Below are 16110 nucleotides of genomic sequence, written 5' to 3'. Positions count from 1 at the left end.
TGGTGTGATCTCAGCTCACTGCAACCTCCACCTCCCAGGTTCAAAAGATTCTCCTGCCTCGGCCTCCTGAGTGGCTGCGATTACAGGCACCCGCCACCATGACTGGATAATTTTTGTATTTTTAGTAGATATGGGGTTTCACCATCTTGGCCAGACTGGTCTTGAACTCCTCATGATCCACCTGCCTTGGCTTCCCAAAGTGCTGGGATTGCAGGCGTGTGCCACTGCACCCAGCCTGCTTATTTCTTAAATAGAATGTTTTAAAAGTTTAACACTAGCAAATTATCTGTTCCTATTTACATGGATTCCATCCTTAGCCAGAATTGATTCTCATTGAAATTGAGAGATTGGCTAAATTGGCTTAGTACTAGGCAAGACTTGCTTAGAAACCCCTTTGATTGGTAAGCACATGCACCTATGGTGCAGTTTATCTTCCTTTGATCCTGCACAATAAAGGGTTGACACAGCAGGTCTGGGGTGTTCAAACCCTGCACTTAACAAAGAAAGGGCTGGCCCTTGACTGCTCCTGGGAGATCACCTCTAAGCCCTTTGAGTGTCATGCCTGATGAAAGTGTTTCTGTTTACCTGGGACCTTGAGCCACCCAGGTAGTTCATGCTGGCAATGTGATTTATGGTGGGGGACTTGGGTGACACAGTATCTAGTTGACATCTGGAGTGGCTGGAGATTGAGAAACTAGGGTGAGCCATGTGGGTGCTCTATGCCCGTGTGACTGACTACCAATAAAAATCCTGGACATTGAGGCTCAAGCGAGCTTCTCAGGTTGGCATCACACCTCATTGCTGGGAGAATGACAGGTGCTGCCTGTATAACCCATGAGAAGAGGAGAGGACATCTAGAATGAGAAGAAGACAGTTGGTCTTTCTTCTCCTGGCCTCTGCCTGATGTGTTTTTTTTTTTTTTTTTTTAGAGACAGGGTCTCACTATGTTGCCCAAGCTTTTGAACTCCTGGGCTTAAGCAATCATCCAGCCTCGGCCTCCCAAAATGGTGGGATTATAGGCGCGAGCCACCTTGCTTGGCCTGACTAATGTGCTCTTTATCTCTGCTGATTGGTCTCTGTGTCTTTTTGCTGTCAAGAACTATAACCATGTGTATAATAGCTTTTCTGAATTCTGCAAATTTTTCTGAAGTGTCCCTGAACCTGAGGGTAGTCTTGGGGACCCCCATCACTGGTCCCTCTGCCCATTGTGCTCTACACCCCAATTATCTTAAAGAGAGATATTAGGTCCAGACGCTGTCTACCCTCAGGGAGTTTGTGGTTTAGTGAAGGAGGCCATTAATACTCCCCAATACAATGTGAGGCACACGATAAGACAGACATCAGATAGACCTACAGGGTCAGGTGGCTTAGGAAAGAAAACAAGTAATCTAGCTAGGTTATTTTTGGCTGGACGCAGTGGCTCATACCTGTAATCCCAGCATTTTGGGAGGCCGAAGCAGACAGATCACAAGGTCAGGAGATTGAGGCCATACTGGCCAACGTGGTGAAACCCCGTCTGTACTAAAATGCAAAAATTAGCTGGGCATGGTCGCCTGTGCCTGTAGTCCCAGCTACTCGGAAGGCTGAGGCAGGAGAATCGCTTGAAACCGGGCGGCGGAGGTTGCAGTGAATTGAGATCGCGCGCCATTGCACTGCAGCCTGGTGACAGAGCTAGACTCTTCTAAAAAAAAAAAAAAAAAAAAAAAGCAAACTCATAGAAAAATACAATGCACGTTGCAGCTGGAAATAGGATCAATCATCAGGAAAAGCCCGGATCAGAACAGTCCTATGTCTGTACTTCCCTCTGCACAACTTATTCTTTCTTTTTCTTTTGCTCTTGCCTAAATTATTTGCCATCTGGCTGATTCTCTGTCCAAACAGAAAAATACCTGATCTTTTTTACACATTGACAGAAACTCATTCACACCAATAAGTTCTGCCTTCTAGGTATTTGCCCATAAAAGACTTCTATCTGTCACTGGGGTCTGGGAGTGCTCTGTCTCTGGTTAGAGCAACATCTGGCAATAGCAAGTTAGTATTTTTAGGGAGGTGGAGACAGATTTCTCCTGGCCACTGACTCATTGTTGCAGAAACTGGCTGGGAAAGTAAATCTGCTTTAGATGTACAGCAGGATGGAGTTAAAAGAAACAGTAGGGGACCAGGTCATTTCTTTTCCTTCTCCCTCCTCCTCCCTCCAGTTCTAACTCATCTCATTTTATTTCTTGAATCCAAAATTCTCACATGCCCAGGAATTTTCCTGTGCCAATGCTCTTCACCTTCATTTCCTCTTCTTGTGTGTGACCTTGACCTCTGGGCAGGCGACTCAGCCCTAGGCTTGGAGTTTCTGATGTCAAGGCTCTAGAGTTCCTAGGGCACCTAGCTTGGAGGTAGCGAGCTGGAGGCATCTGATTAAAGCTCTCTCTCTCTGTCTCTCTCTGTGTGTATGGGGGTGTTGGTGAAGGATACTGTAAAAAGATTTTCTCTGTTAAGTGGAGGCTCACATTGAACACCTCTGAGTTTCTAGCTCAACTTCAACATTCTAAGGATATTTGATTAAATGACAGCTGGGAAATATAGGGAAGAGAGTTGACATTGATATCAGTTATAAATACTGCAGAACTAGCAAAAGAATAAAACTCTAAAATTTGCTTTTCTGGGTAAGAATATTATTAACAGAGGTCATTTATGAGAATGACTGACCATTTAAGCTTATTTACCTGCAATATGGTAACAATTATGTATACTTGTCAACATGCCACTTTCAATAGGTTCTGTTTTACTCAGTCAATAAGTTCTACACATGTGCTTGCTTTTCATGATTTTATCCTTGATACAGTGGTTGTCTATTCATAGCTTAAAGTAAATGAAAAGGAACATTGCCTGGGAAGACAATGCTACTTTGGTGCTGTTGTGATTGCATTTTAACTAGTCTGCAAATTCCACACAATCATTCATTCAGTGAATGCTTGCTATGTGCATGCCTGCTATGTGCTGTTCTCTTCTGCAGAGAAGACAGGGGTGGGCAGGGACAGAGATGTGAGGAGGTGCTTACAGCCTTTGTTGGAGGGAAGTTCTCTCAGATAGTGAGGAAGTGGCTGTCTGGATCACTGCTCAAGGGCAGCTGATCAGTGCTGGCATGGTATTAAAGCCAGCTTCAGCATCCCACAGAGCCATTGGCAGAAACTCTTGGCTCTCCTGGCCTCCCTCCTGACCCTGCTCTTTCAGGGCCCCAGTGTAGCTTTACTCTACCTTGGCTCATTCCCATTTCATCCCGCTCTTTCTTTCTATATTTGCAAAAAATGAAAGGAATTTTTTTTTTTTTTTTTTTTTTTTTTAGATAGAATCTTGTTCTGTTGCCTGGGCTGGAGTAGAGTGATGCCATCATAGCTCACTGCAGCCTCCAACTCCTGGGATCTAGCTATCCTCCCTCCTCAGCCTCCCAAGTTGCTGGGACTATAGGCATGCACCACCATGCCTGGCTAAGTTTAAAAAATTTAAAAAAAATTTTTAAAAATCTCCTCATAGAGACGAGGTCTCACTATGTTGCCCTGGCTGGTCTTGAACACCTGGCTTCAAGTGATCCTCCCACTTTGGTCTCCCAAAGTGCAGGGATTATAGGTGTGAGCCACCATGCCAAGATGGGAGGATTGCTTGAAGCCAGGAGATTGAGACCAGCCTGGGGAATTCAGCAAGACCTCATCTCTGTAAAAACCAAAAGTGGGCCAGGTGTGGTGGCTCACGCCTGTAATCCCAGCACTTTGGGAGGCCAAAGGGGCAGATCACCTGAAGTCAGGAGTTCGAGACTTGCCTGAACAACATGGTGAAACCTCGTCTCTACTAATATTACAAAAATTAGCTGGGCGTGGTGCCTCATGTCTGTAATCCCAACTACTTGGGGGGCTGAGGCAGAAGAATCACTTGAACCCAGGAGGTGGAGGTTGCAGTGAGCCGAGATCGTGCCATTGCACTCCAGCCTGGGTGACAAGAGTGAAACTCCATCTCAAAAAAAACAAAAAACAAAAAACTGAAACTAAAGCAAAAAGAAGAAAAAAATATTGGCCATTTGGTAGAGACATTAAGGCAGACTTTATTCAAGAGGGACCACAGTGATGGGACCACTACAATGTGGTCTTGCAGTGAGGGATAGAGACAAGACTTGACTCCCATTCCAACAAGGACAATTGGGCCTTTACAGCCAAGGGACAGGGAGGAGGTCAGTGGGTGGGAAATTAGTAAGAAGAAACCTCAAGGGTAAAGGGGATTTCTGGCTAAACTGACTTGATAGGATTATTGCCAAAGGAAGGTCAAGGTGATAAAATATTGAGGGTAGTGAGATATCTAGGGTGGGGGATTTTCACTAAACTGACTTAGCAGGATTCTTGCTCTAATTGGATTCTACAAGGACAGAGAGGGAAGCTCAAGGTCAGGCCTAGTCAAACAGAGCCTGACGAATGTTTTGGTAAAAGGAGAGCATCTTTGACACCTTGGGCAAACTCTTCAGATGTGACCCTTTCTCATCACTTCGGGGCAGTGCCTGGACTCAGTCCTACTGCTGGACCCAAACGTCATGTTAGTCCCCTTGGGGTGGCCCTGGAGGCTGGTGTTTTGGCAGAAAAATTGTTTACCAAGTTTTAAAATTCTGACATTACTGGCTGGGTGCAGTGGCTCACTCTTGTAATCCCAGCACTTTGGGAGGTCGAGATGGGCAGAGGCCGAGATGGGCGGATCACTTGAGGCCAGGAGTTTGAGACCAGCCTGGCCAACATGGTGAAACCCTGTCTCTACAAAAAAATACAAAAATTAGCTGGGCGGGATGGTGCATGCCTGTAATCCCAGCTACTCAGCAGACTGAGGCAGGAAAATCACTTGAACCCGGGAGGCAGAGGTTGCAATGAGATGAGATTGTGCCGCTGCACCCCAGCCTGGGTGAAAGAGATAGAATTCTGACATTAACCATATTTTGACCTTGTCTTAAGAGAATACTCCTTTGGAATTATCACAGATTCTGCACCTTTCACAAAAATGAAGTTGGGTCAAATGTCCTACCTAAAATCTCTATTTATTTATTTATTTATTTATTTATTTATTTTTGAGATGGAGTCTTACTCTATCGCCCAGGCTGGAGTGCATGGCATGATCTCGGCTCACTACAACCTCCGCCTCCCAGGTTCAAGCAGTTCTCCTCTCTCAGCCCCCGGAGTAGCTGGGGTTACAGATGCCCACCACCATGCCCAGCTAATTTTTTTGTATTTTTAGTAGAGATGGGGTTTCACCATGTTGGCCAGGCGGATCTTGAACTTCTGACCTCAGGTGATCCACTACCCTTGGCTTCCCAAAGTGCTGGGATTACAGGCTGGTGGTTTGACTTCCTCTTACTAATTTGGATGCCTTTTATTTCTTTCTCTTGTCTGATTGCTCTGGCTAGGACTTCCAGTACTATGTTGAATGGAAGTGTTGGAAGTGGGCATCCTTGTCTTGTTCCAGTTCTCAGGTAGTATGCTTTCAACTTTTCTCCATTCAGTGTAATGTTGGCTGTGGATTTGTCATAGATGGCTTTTATTACGTTAAGGTATATCCCTTCTACACCGATTTTGCTGAGGGTTTTAATCATAAAGGGATGCTGGATTTTGTCAAACACTTTTTCTGCATCTATGGAGATGATTATATTTTTGTTTTTAATTCTGTTTCTGTAGTGTATCACATTTATTGACTTGCCCATGTTAAACCATCCTGAATCTCTGGTATGAAATCCACATGATCATGGTGGATTACCTTTTTGATATGCTGCTAGATTTGGTTAGCTAGTATTTTGTTGAGGATTTTTGGATCTATGTTCATCAGGGATATTGGTCTGTAGTTTTCTTTTTTTGTTATGTTCTTTCCTGGTGTTGGCATTAAGATGATACTGGCTTCATAGAGTGATTTAGAGAGGATCTCGTCTTTCTCCATCTTTTGGTGTAGTTTCAGTAGGATTGGTACCAATTCTTCTTTGAATGTCTGATAGAATTCAGCTGTGAATCCACCTGGTCCTGAACTTTATTTGTTGGTAATTTTTTTAAATGACCACTTCTATCTCACTGCTTGTTATTGGTCTGTTGAGACTTTCTGTTTCTTCCTGGTTTAATCTAGGAGGGTTGTATATTTACAGGAATTTATCCATCTCCTCTAGGTTTTCTAGTTTGTGTGCATAAAGGTGTTCACAGTAGCCTTGAATGATATTTTGCGTTTCTGTGGCATGAATTGTAATATTTCCCATTTCATTTCTAATTGAGCTTACTTGGATCTTCTCTCTCCTTTTTTTGGTTTATCTCACTAATGGTCTATCAATTTTGTTTATCTTTTCAAAGAACCAGCTTTTTGTTTCATTTATCTTTTGTATTTTTTTGTTTCAATTTCATTTAATTTTGCTCTGATCTTTGTTATTTCTTTTCTTCTGGTGGGTTTGGGTTGGTTTGTTCTTGTTTCTCTAGTTCTTTGAGATTCCTTAGATTGTCTGTTTGTGCTCTTAAAACTTTTTGATGTAGGCATTTAATGCTATGAACTTTCCTCTTAGCACTGCTTTTACTATATCCCAGAGGTTTTGATAAGTTGTGTCACTATTATCGTTGAGTTCAAGTACTTTTTTAACTTCCGTCTTGATTTCATTGTTGACCCAAAGATCATTCAGAGCAGATTAGTTAATTTCCACGTATTTGCATGACTTTGAGGGTTGGAGTTGGTTTCTAACTTTATTCCACTGTGGTCTGAAAGAGTACTTGATATAATTTTGATTTTCTTGAATTTATTGAGGCTTGTTTTGTGGCCTATCATGTGGTCTATCTTGGAAAATGTTCCATGTGCTGATGAATAGAATGTACATTCTGCAATTGTTGAGTAGCATGTTCTGTGAATATCTGTTAAGTCCATTTGTTCTAGGATATAGTTTAAGTCCATTGTTTCTTTGTTGACCTTCTGTCTTGATGGCCTGTCTAGTGCTGTCAGTGGAGTATTAAAGTTCCCCACTATTATTGTGGTGCCATCTATTTAATTTCTTACGTTAGTAGTAATTGTTTTTATAAATTTTGGAGCTCCAGTGTTAGGTGCATATATAGGATTGTGATATTTTCCTGTTGGACTAGTCTTTTTATCATTAGATAATGTCCCTTTTTTTTTTTAACTGTTGCTGCTTTAAAGTCTGTTTTGTCTGATATAAAAATAGCCACTTCTGCTCACTTTTGGTGTCCATTTGCATGAAATATCTTTTTCCACCCCTTTACTTTAAGTTTATGTGAGTCCTTATGTGTTAGGTGAGTCTCTTGAAGACAGCAGATACTTGGTTGGTGAATTCTTATTCATTCTGCAATTCTACATCTTTTAAGTGGAGGTGAAGGATTTAGGCTATTTACATTCAACGTTAGTATAGACTATGTGAGCCACTATTCTATTCATCATTCCAGTTGTTTCCTGAATACCTGTTTTTAAAAATTGTATTATTGTTTTATAGGTCCTGTGAGATTTATGCTTCAAGGAGGTTTTGTTTTCATGTATTTTGAGGTTTTGTCTCAAGATTTCCAACTCCTTATAGCAGTTCTCATAATGCTGGCTTGGGAGTGGCAAATTCTCTCAGCATTTGTTTGTCTGAAAAAAGCTTTATCTTTCCTTCATTTATGAAGCTTAGTTTCACTGGATACAAAATTCTTGGCTGATAATTGCTTTGTTTAAGAGGGCAAAAGATAGGACCCCAATCCCTTCTAGCTTATAGGGTTTCTGCTGACAAATCTGCTGTTAATCTGATAGATTTTCCTTTGTAGGTTATCTAATGCTTTTGCTTCATAGCTCTTCAGATTCTTTCCTTTGTCTTCACTTTAGACAACCTGATGACTATGTGCCTAGGTCATGATATTTTTGCAATGAATTTCCTAGGTGTTTTTTGAACTTCTTGTGTTCAGATGTCTAGATCACTCACAAGGCCAGGGAAGTTTTCCTTGATGATTCTCTCAAATAAGTTTTCCAAACGTTTAGATTTCTCTTCTTCCACGGAACAGAAATTGTTCTTAGGTTTGGTCATTAAACATAATCCCAAACTTTTTGGAGGCTTTGTTAATTTCTTTAAATTCTTTTTTTCTTTATCTTTGTTGGATTGGGATAATTCTAAAGCTTTGTCTTTGAGCTGTAAAGTTCTTTCTTCTACTTGTTCAATCCTATTTTGCATTTCCCTAAGTGTGTCTTTCATTTCCAGAAGGTTTCATTGTTTTTTATTTATGATATCTACTTCTCTGGAAATGTTTTTGTGCATATCATGCATTATGTTTTTAATTTTTTAGGTTGGTTTGCACCTTTCTCTGGTACCTCCTTGAGTAGCTTAATAATCAATCAACCTTCTGAATTCTTTTCCTGGCAATTCAGATATTTCTTCTTGGTTTAGATCCATTGCTGGTGAACTCATGTGATATTTTGGGGGTGTTAAAGAGCCTTGTTTTGTTGTATTACTAGAATTGCTTTTCTGGTTCCTTCTCATTTGGGTAGGCTATGTCAGAGGGAAGATCTGGGAATCAAGGGCTGCAATTCAGATTCTTTTGTCCCAAGGGGTGCTCCCTTGATATGGTGCTTTCCCCCTTCCCCTATGGATGGGGCTTCCTGAGAGCCAGACTACAGTGATTGCTACTGCTCTTCTGAGCCTTGTCACCCAGCAGAGCTACCGGGCTCTGGGCTGATACTGGGTAGTGTCTGCAAATAGTCCTGTTATATGATCTGTCTTCAGGTCTCTCAGCTGTGGATATAAGCACCTGCTCCAGTGAAGGTAGCAGGGGAGTGAAGGGGACTCTGAGAATCCTTGGTTGTAGGTTTGTTTAGTGCACTGGTTTTCTCGAATGCTGCTTATGCTAGCAGTGAAGTTGTCATGTGGACAGACTCTGTATCTCTGATTAGCCAGGATATTACAGGCAGTGAAATTAGCTGTTGTTTTCTCCTTCCTTGGAGCAGGGTTATTCTTTCATGAGTTCCTGTAGTGGCTTGAGTTGGTTGGCCTCCTGCCAGGAGGTGAAGCTTTCAAAACAGCATCAGCTGCTGTAGTATAGTGGGGCTATAAGCTTGCCCTACAGTCTCCTATCCAGGAGTATTTGGGTTTCTCAGGTGATGGGCAGAGCCATAGAGCTCCCATGTGTTTATGTCTTTTGTCTTCAGCTACCAGGGCAGGTAGAGAAATACCATCAGGTAGGGGCAGTGTTAGACGTGTCTGAGCTCAGACTCTCTTGGGGCAGGGCTTGCTGCAGTCACTGTGGGAGATGGGGGGGTTGGTTCTCAGGCTAATCAAGTGATGTTCCAAGGGGAATCATGGCTGCCTTTGCTTCTTCAAACAGGTTGCCAGGGAAGTGGGGGAAAGCTGGCAGTGACAGGCCTCACCCAGCTCCCATGCAGCCAGCAGGGCCAGTCTCACTTCCACCATGCTCCTTCAATAGCAACAGAGCTGAATTTATATCCAGACCTCTGGTGCACGGGGCTGAGATCTTGCTTCAGGTTACAAGCCTCTCCACTGAGAAAGCAAGCAGGGCTTTCAGGCTTCACCCCTCCCTGTCTGCCATGGCTTCTGTGGTCATATCTGCAATTTCTGTTTATTGCTCCTTCCCAGATTCTGTCCAGGAAAAAATTCATGCTCAGTCAAAATTATTACGAGATTCAGCTAGAACTCTTCTTCTTCCTGTGGCCCTTCTTCAATTCCACTGGCTGACCTCCCCAAAGACTCCTATGAGATAAAGCCAGAAATGCCTCCCTTGGGCTTCTCTGGGGACTGGGAGTGCCTACAGGGCTCTTTCTACTGCTTCTACTTTTATATTTCGCTTGGCTCTCGAAATTTGTTTCAGCTCTAGGTAAGTTTAAATCCTTCTTCCATGATTTGGATTTTTCAGGTTTCCCCAGTGTGGATGTGTGTTTGGAGGCAGACTTTCTCCCCTCACACTTTGGGCACTCACAGTGTTTTGGCTAGCTCATGGAGTTTGCAGAGGCAAGTCACTTCTTTCCTAGAATAATTTTTTTTCTGAAGACTTTCAACATGACTGCATAGTAGACTGAAACAAAGATTTGGAGAAATAAGAGCATGGTCCAAATAGCAATGTACTCATTTCCCAGCTGTAGGAATCTGGGCCATTTACATAATAGCCTGGCACCTTGATGGCTTCACCTTGACAGGTATATTTGCTTCCTGGGGCTGCTGTAAGAGAGTACCAGAAATTGGGTGGCTCAGCAAAACAGCTATTTATTCTCTCACAGTTCTGGAGGCTGGGAGTCTGAAAGCAAGGTGACAGCAGGGCTGCACCTCCTCTGGAGCATCTGGGGAAGCTCCTTCTTGCCTCTTCTTGCTTCTGGGGCTGGCGGCCATCTGTGGTGTTCTGTGGCTTGAGCTGTGTCACTCCAGTTACGTGGTTGTCTTCTCTCTGCGAGTTTTCACATCACCTTCCCGCTGTGTCCCTGCCTCTGTGTCCAAATTTCCACTTTTTATAAGGACACCAGCCATGTTGGATGAGGGTCTGATCCAATGACCTCATTTTAACTGCGTTATCTCTGCAAAGGTCCTATTTCTGAATAAGGTCACCCTTGGAAGTATTGGGGATGAGGACTGCAATGTATCTTTTTGAGGGGCACCATTCAATCTATAACACATGGGAACAGTATTTACCTAATAAGGTGACCACCTAGAACAGAATGTGAAATCCATAAAAAAGAGCTATTATTATACTGACCACAGAAAGGGTGATTTAAAGGGATTGAATCTGCAGCACTCCTTCATTTGTTTACTTATTATGTCCCCAATGTCTTTTGAGAGCAGATGGCATGCAGGCACTAGGGACAGACCCTTTTTATTTCTTCTCACCCAGGTTCTGTTCTGGCCCAGGTTGCCACCTGGTTCCTGGCCATGGCTCTCTCCCTCTTGTGCGATCTCATTCCCATCTCGGTGACCCAGGGGCTGTGCCAGGCCTCCAGCTGCAGACCTCAACTCTGCTACCAGAACTGATGTGGACTTGTTTTCCCAGCCCTATTCTTCCTGCTTATCTTCCTAAGCCACAATATTCAAGCCCAGATTTCTTCTACCTGCCATGGCCTTGCTCCTATATTTTGTTCTTATGAAGGAGTGATTTGCGAAACTCTTAATCAGAACCAGCCATGGGGGCTTTCTCCAAAATGAGAGAGTTTGAATCCTTTCCTTCTACCATTCTCATTTTGGCCTCATCTTCTGCTTCATGCCAGAACACCTGGCCACACTCATCCCTCTGCAGCATCTCAGATGATTTAGGGATTGGAGGGAGGAGGCTACAGGCACATCTACCTGCTATGAATTCCTACTTTCTTTAGTTAGGCATCTTCCCCTTGAAGGTAGGGAAGCGGTTCATGCAGAAGCAGCAGCAACGTGTCTTGGGGTGGCTTTCTTGGAGCTGGGATTCTAACAGAACATGCAACTGCTGATGACAATTTTCCTGCAGGTAGGACCTTCCAGAATGGATAAAGCAGGTGTATTCTTGCTAAGCTGCTGCCTGCTGGGTTTCTATTATCTTACCAGAGGAGCTTCTATAAGCATCCATGCACTTTCCTCTAAGCACTGGTTCCCAAAGCTGGCTGCATGTTAGGATCACCTAGAGGTAGGAGGTTAAAATCCCCAGATACCCAGGATTCTAGGTGTATATATAATCAATAAATGCTTGGCAAAGGAGCAAATGCAGTTTAATCAAGAAGGGGTATCTTTTCAATAAGCGGGGCTGGAAAAATTGGACATCCCCATGCAAAAATCTAGACTCATATAGAGTCTATACCATTCAGAAAATTCCTATATATCTTATGCCTTTCACAAATATTAACTAAAATAAATCACAGTTCTAAATAAAAAGCTATAAAACTCCTAGGAGATAACATAGGAAAAAATCTAGGTGACATTGGATTTGGTGATGACTTTTAAATACAACACCAAATACATGACTCATGAAATAAAGACATTGATAAGTTGGATATCAGTAAAATTAAAAACTTCTGTTCAGGGGAAAGATACTGTTCCAAGAAAGAAACGATAAGTCACAGCCTAGAAGAAAATATTTACAAAACATGTGTCTCTTAAAGGGCTTATATCCAAAATACACAAATACCTCTTAAAACTCAGCAATAAGAAAAATAACCCAACTAAAAAATGAGCAAAATATCTGAACAAACATCTCACCAAATAAGATATACAGATGGCAAATAAGCATATAAAAAGATGCTCAATGTCATATGTCATTAGGGATTTTAAAATTAAAACAGCAATGAGACACCACTACGTACCTATTAGAATGGCTAAAATCCAAAACACTGACAACACTAAATGCTGTCAAGCATGTGGAGCAATAGGAGCTCTCCTTCATCACTGGTGGGAATGCAAAATGGTGCAGCTGAGAAGTGAAGCCAGCTGGACTTCTGGGTCGGAGAACCCAGACTTCTGGGACTTGGAGAACTTTTAGGTCTTACAAGAGGATTGTAAAATGCACCAATCAGCACTCTGTAGCTAGCTAGAGGTTTGTAAAATGCACCAATCAGTGCTCTGTAAAAACGCATCAATCAGTGTTCTGTAGCTAGCTAGAGGTTTGTAAAATGGACCAATCAGTGCTCTGTAAAATGGACCAATCAACATCCTGTAAAATGGACCAATCAGCACGCTGTAAAAAGGACCAATCAGCAGGACATGGGTGGGGAGAAATAAGGGAATAAAAGCTGACCATCCCAGCCAGCAGTGGCAACCCGCTCAGGTCCCCTTCCACACTGTGGAAACTTTGTTCTTTTGCTCTTCACAATAAATCTTGCTGTTGCTCAGTCTTTGGGTCTGTGCCATCTTTAAGGGCTGTAATACTCACCACGAAGGTCCACGGCTTCATTCTTGAAGTCAGTGAGACCACAAACCCACCAGAAGGAACAAACTCCGGACACACAGACACTTTGGAAGACAGGCTGGCAGTTTCTTACAAAACAAAGCATTCTCTTAATAATATGATTCAGCAATCATGCTCCATTGTATTTACCCAAATAAGTTGAGATTGCCAAAACTTGGAAGCAACCACGATGTTTCATAGATGAATGGCTAAATAAATTTTCATACATCCATACAATGGAATATTGCTCAATGATAAAAATAAATAGGCTGTCAAGCCACAAAAAGACATGGAGGAATTTAAGTGTGTATTTCTAAGTGAAAGAAACCTATCTGAAAAAGCTACATAGTATACTATTCTAACTATGTGACATTTGGAAAAGGTAAACTTCTGGAGACAGTAAAGAGATCAGTGCTTGGAGTTGGGGAAGAAAGGAAGGAAAGAAGAATAGGTGGAGCACAGGAGACTTTTAAGGCAGTGAAACTATTCTGTGTAACACTGTAATGGTGGATACATGTCATTAGTATATTTGTCAAAACCCATAGAATGCATAACACAAAGTGAACCCTAATGTAAACTATGGACTTTAGTTAATAATAACCTGTAAATATTGGCACATCAGTTGTAGCACATGTACCTCACTAATGCAACATATTAATAATAGGGGAAATGTTTTAAAAAACAAGCAGACTCAGGCTATATAGATAACATAGCAAAGCAAAGTGCAGAACAGTGCATTCCATACTTTCACTTTATATATAAATATATATTATTTCTTGTCTATTTTAAAATGATCTCTGTAAGTTGCCTCCTGGATAAGTGAGTGACTGAGATAGAAGCTAGAAAAACTCAGCAGTAAGAAAACAACCAAAGGATCATGGGGGATGGGAGGCAGAAATAGGTTGCAGCTCCCACTCAGACAGAGCAGCATGTGGAGTCTCACATCATGAACTTTTGCTCCAGAAATCCTGCAGCAATAAACCAGGAACAGCAAGGGAACCCACACACCCTCTGAAGGAAGAAGATTACTCCTGCAAGACCCAGGGGACACCCCGAATACTGTTAGTGCCCAAACTGTGGAATTGGGAAAGGGGGATTGTTCACCCCTGAACACATGCACTCACTGGGGAGCCTGAAGGTCTAGATCATGGAAGAAGATTCTGACCTTACCAGGAGCTGAGTCAGTTTAGAGAGCAGAGCAAAATACAGGGGTAGAGGAAGCATCAGGAAAGGCTCTGTGGGCTCTCTGGGTCCCCTAGGAAACTGTTTCTGCCTTGCCTCACAGGGGTACCTGGGGAGGGCTGCCAGAGGTACTGGGAAAAGGCCACGGGGAGAAGTAAACCGCCAGCTGAACTATGTAACAATTCCAACCAAAGAGAAGTCTCCTGGCCAGAACTCAGGGGAGGCCGTGAATCTGGTGTGCAGACTTCACATGCAGGGAAGCATGAAAGCCCTACTTGCTTTCACAGCTGGGAGGCTGCTAGTCTGGGGCAAGTTCTCAGCCCTGCTCACCCACTGCCTGGAAACAGACTCGGTGCTGTTGGAAGGGGCATGGTGGCAGTGAGACTGGCCTTTTGGGTTGCATGAGAGCTGGGTGAGGCCTGCAACTGCCGCTTTCCCCCACTTCCCTAACAATCTGCATGACACAACAGAGGCAGTCATAATCCTCCTGGGAATATAACTCCATTGACCTGGGAAACACACCCACGGTCCCCACAGCAGCTGCAGCAAGACCCACCCAAGGAAAGCCTGAGCTTAGAAACGCCTAGCCCTGCCCTCACCTGATGGTCCTTCCCTACCCACCCTAGTAGCTGAAGAAGAAGGGCATATACTCTTGGGAGTTCTGGGGCCCCGCCCACTGCCTGATTCTCTTCAGTGAAGTGCACTATCTCCCAGCAGGAGGCCAACCAGCACAAAAATAGTGCATTAAACAACCAAAACTATGGACTCTCACAGAGTCCCTTTCACCCGCCGGCCACCTCCGCTGGAGCAGGTGCTGGTATCCATGGCTGAGAAATCCACAGATGGTTCACATCACAGGACTCTGTGCAGACAACCGCAGGTACCAGCCCAGAGCCTGTAGACCTGCTGGGTGGCTAGATCCAGAAGAGAGATAGCAATTACTACAGTTCGGCTTTCAGGAAGCCACATCCCTAGGAAAAGGGAGAGAGTACTACATTGAGGGAACACCCCATGGGACAAAAGGATCTGAACAACAGCCTTAAGCCCTAAACCTTCCCTCTGACAGACCCTACCCAAATGAGAAGAAACCAGAAAACCAACTCTGGAAATATGACAAAATGAGGTTCTTTAACAACCCCCAAAAAATCACTCTAGCTCACCAGCAATGGATCCAAACCAAGAAGAAATCCCTGATTTACCTGAAAAAGAATTCAGAAGGTAGTTATTAAGCTAAGCAAGGAGGCACCAGAGAGAGGCAAAGCCCAATTTAAGGAACTCAAAAAAATGATACAAGAAATAAGGGGAAGAAATCTTCAGTGAAATAGGTAGCAAAAAAAAAACAATTAAAACTTCAGGAAACAATGGATATACTTATTGAAATGCAAAATGCTCTGGAAAGTCTCAGCAACAGAATTGAATAAGCAGAAGAAAAACTTCAGAGCTCAAAGACAAGGTCTTTGAATTAACCCAATCCAACAGAGACAAAGAAAAAAGAACATGAAAATATGAACAAAGCCACTAAGAAGTAAGGAATTATGTTAAAAAATCAAACCTAAGAACAATCAATATACCAGAGGAAGAAGATGAATATAAAAGTTTGGAAAACATATTTGGGGGAAGAATTGAGAAAAACTTCACCAGCCTTACTAGAGACCTAGACATCCAAATACAAGAAGCTCAAAGAACACCTGGGAAATTAATTACAAAAAGATCATTGCCTAGTTACATTGCCATCAGGTTATCTAAAGTTAAGACAAAGGAAAGAATCTGAAGAGCTGTGAGGCAAAAGCACCAGGTAACCTACAAAGGAAAACCTATTAGATTAACAGCAGATTTGTCAGCAGAAACCTTAGAAGCTAGAAGGGATTGGGGCTCTATTTTCAGCTTCCTCAAACAAAACAATTATCAGCCAAGAATTTTGTATCCAGTGAAACTAAGCTTCATAAATGAAGGAAAGATACAGTCTCTTTCAGACAAACAAATGCTGAGAGAATTTGTCACTACCAAGCCAGCATTATAAGAACTGCTAAAAGGAGCTCTAAATCTTGAAGCAAATCCTGGGAAC

At 42.8% G+C, this 16110-nt stretch overlaps 1 annotated feature.

Moving 5' to 3' along the window:
- Nucleotides 225-726: an enhancer, noted in NCBI's record as "NANOG hESC enhancer chr8:40915338-40915839 (GRCh37/hg19 assembly coordinates)". NCBI's record gives its function as "activates a minimal SCP1, AML or CMV promoter by ChIP-STARR-seq in naive H9 embryonic stem cells {active_cell/tissue: H9 hESC(naive)}" and the evidence as "EXISTENCE:reporter gene assay evidence [ECO:0000049][PMID:30033119]".

The sequence above is a fragment of the Homo sapiens genome, chromosome 8 (assembly GCF_000001405.40).
Source record: "Homo sapiens chromosome 8, GRCh38.p14 Primary Assembly".
Classification (NCBI taxonomy): domain Eukaryota; kingdom Metazoa; phylum Chordata; class Mammalia; order Primates; family Hominidae; genus Homo; species Homo sapiens.
The sequence above is the reverse complement of the archived record's forward strand: the minus strand, read 5'-3'. Positions and strand labels throughout refer to the sequence as shown.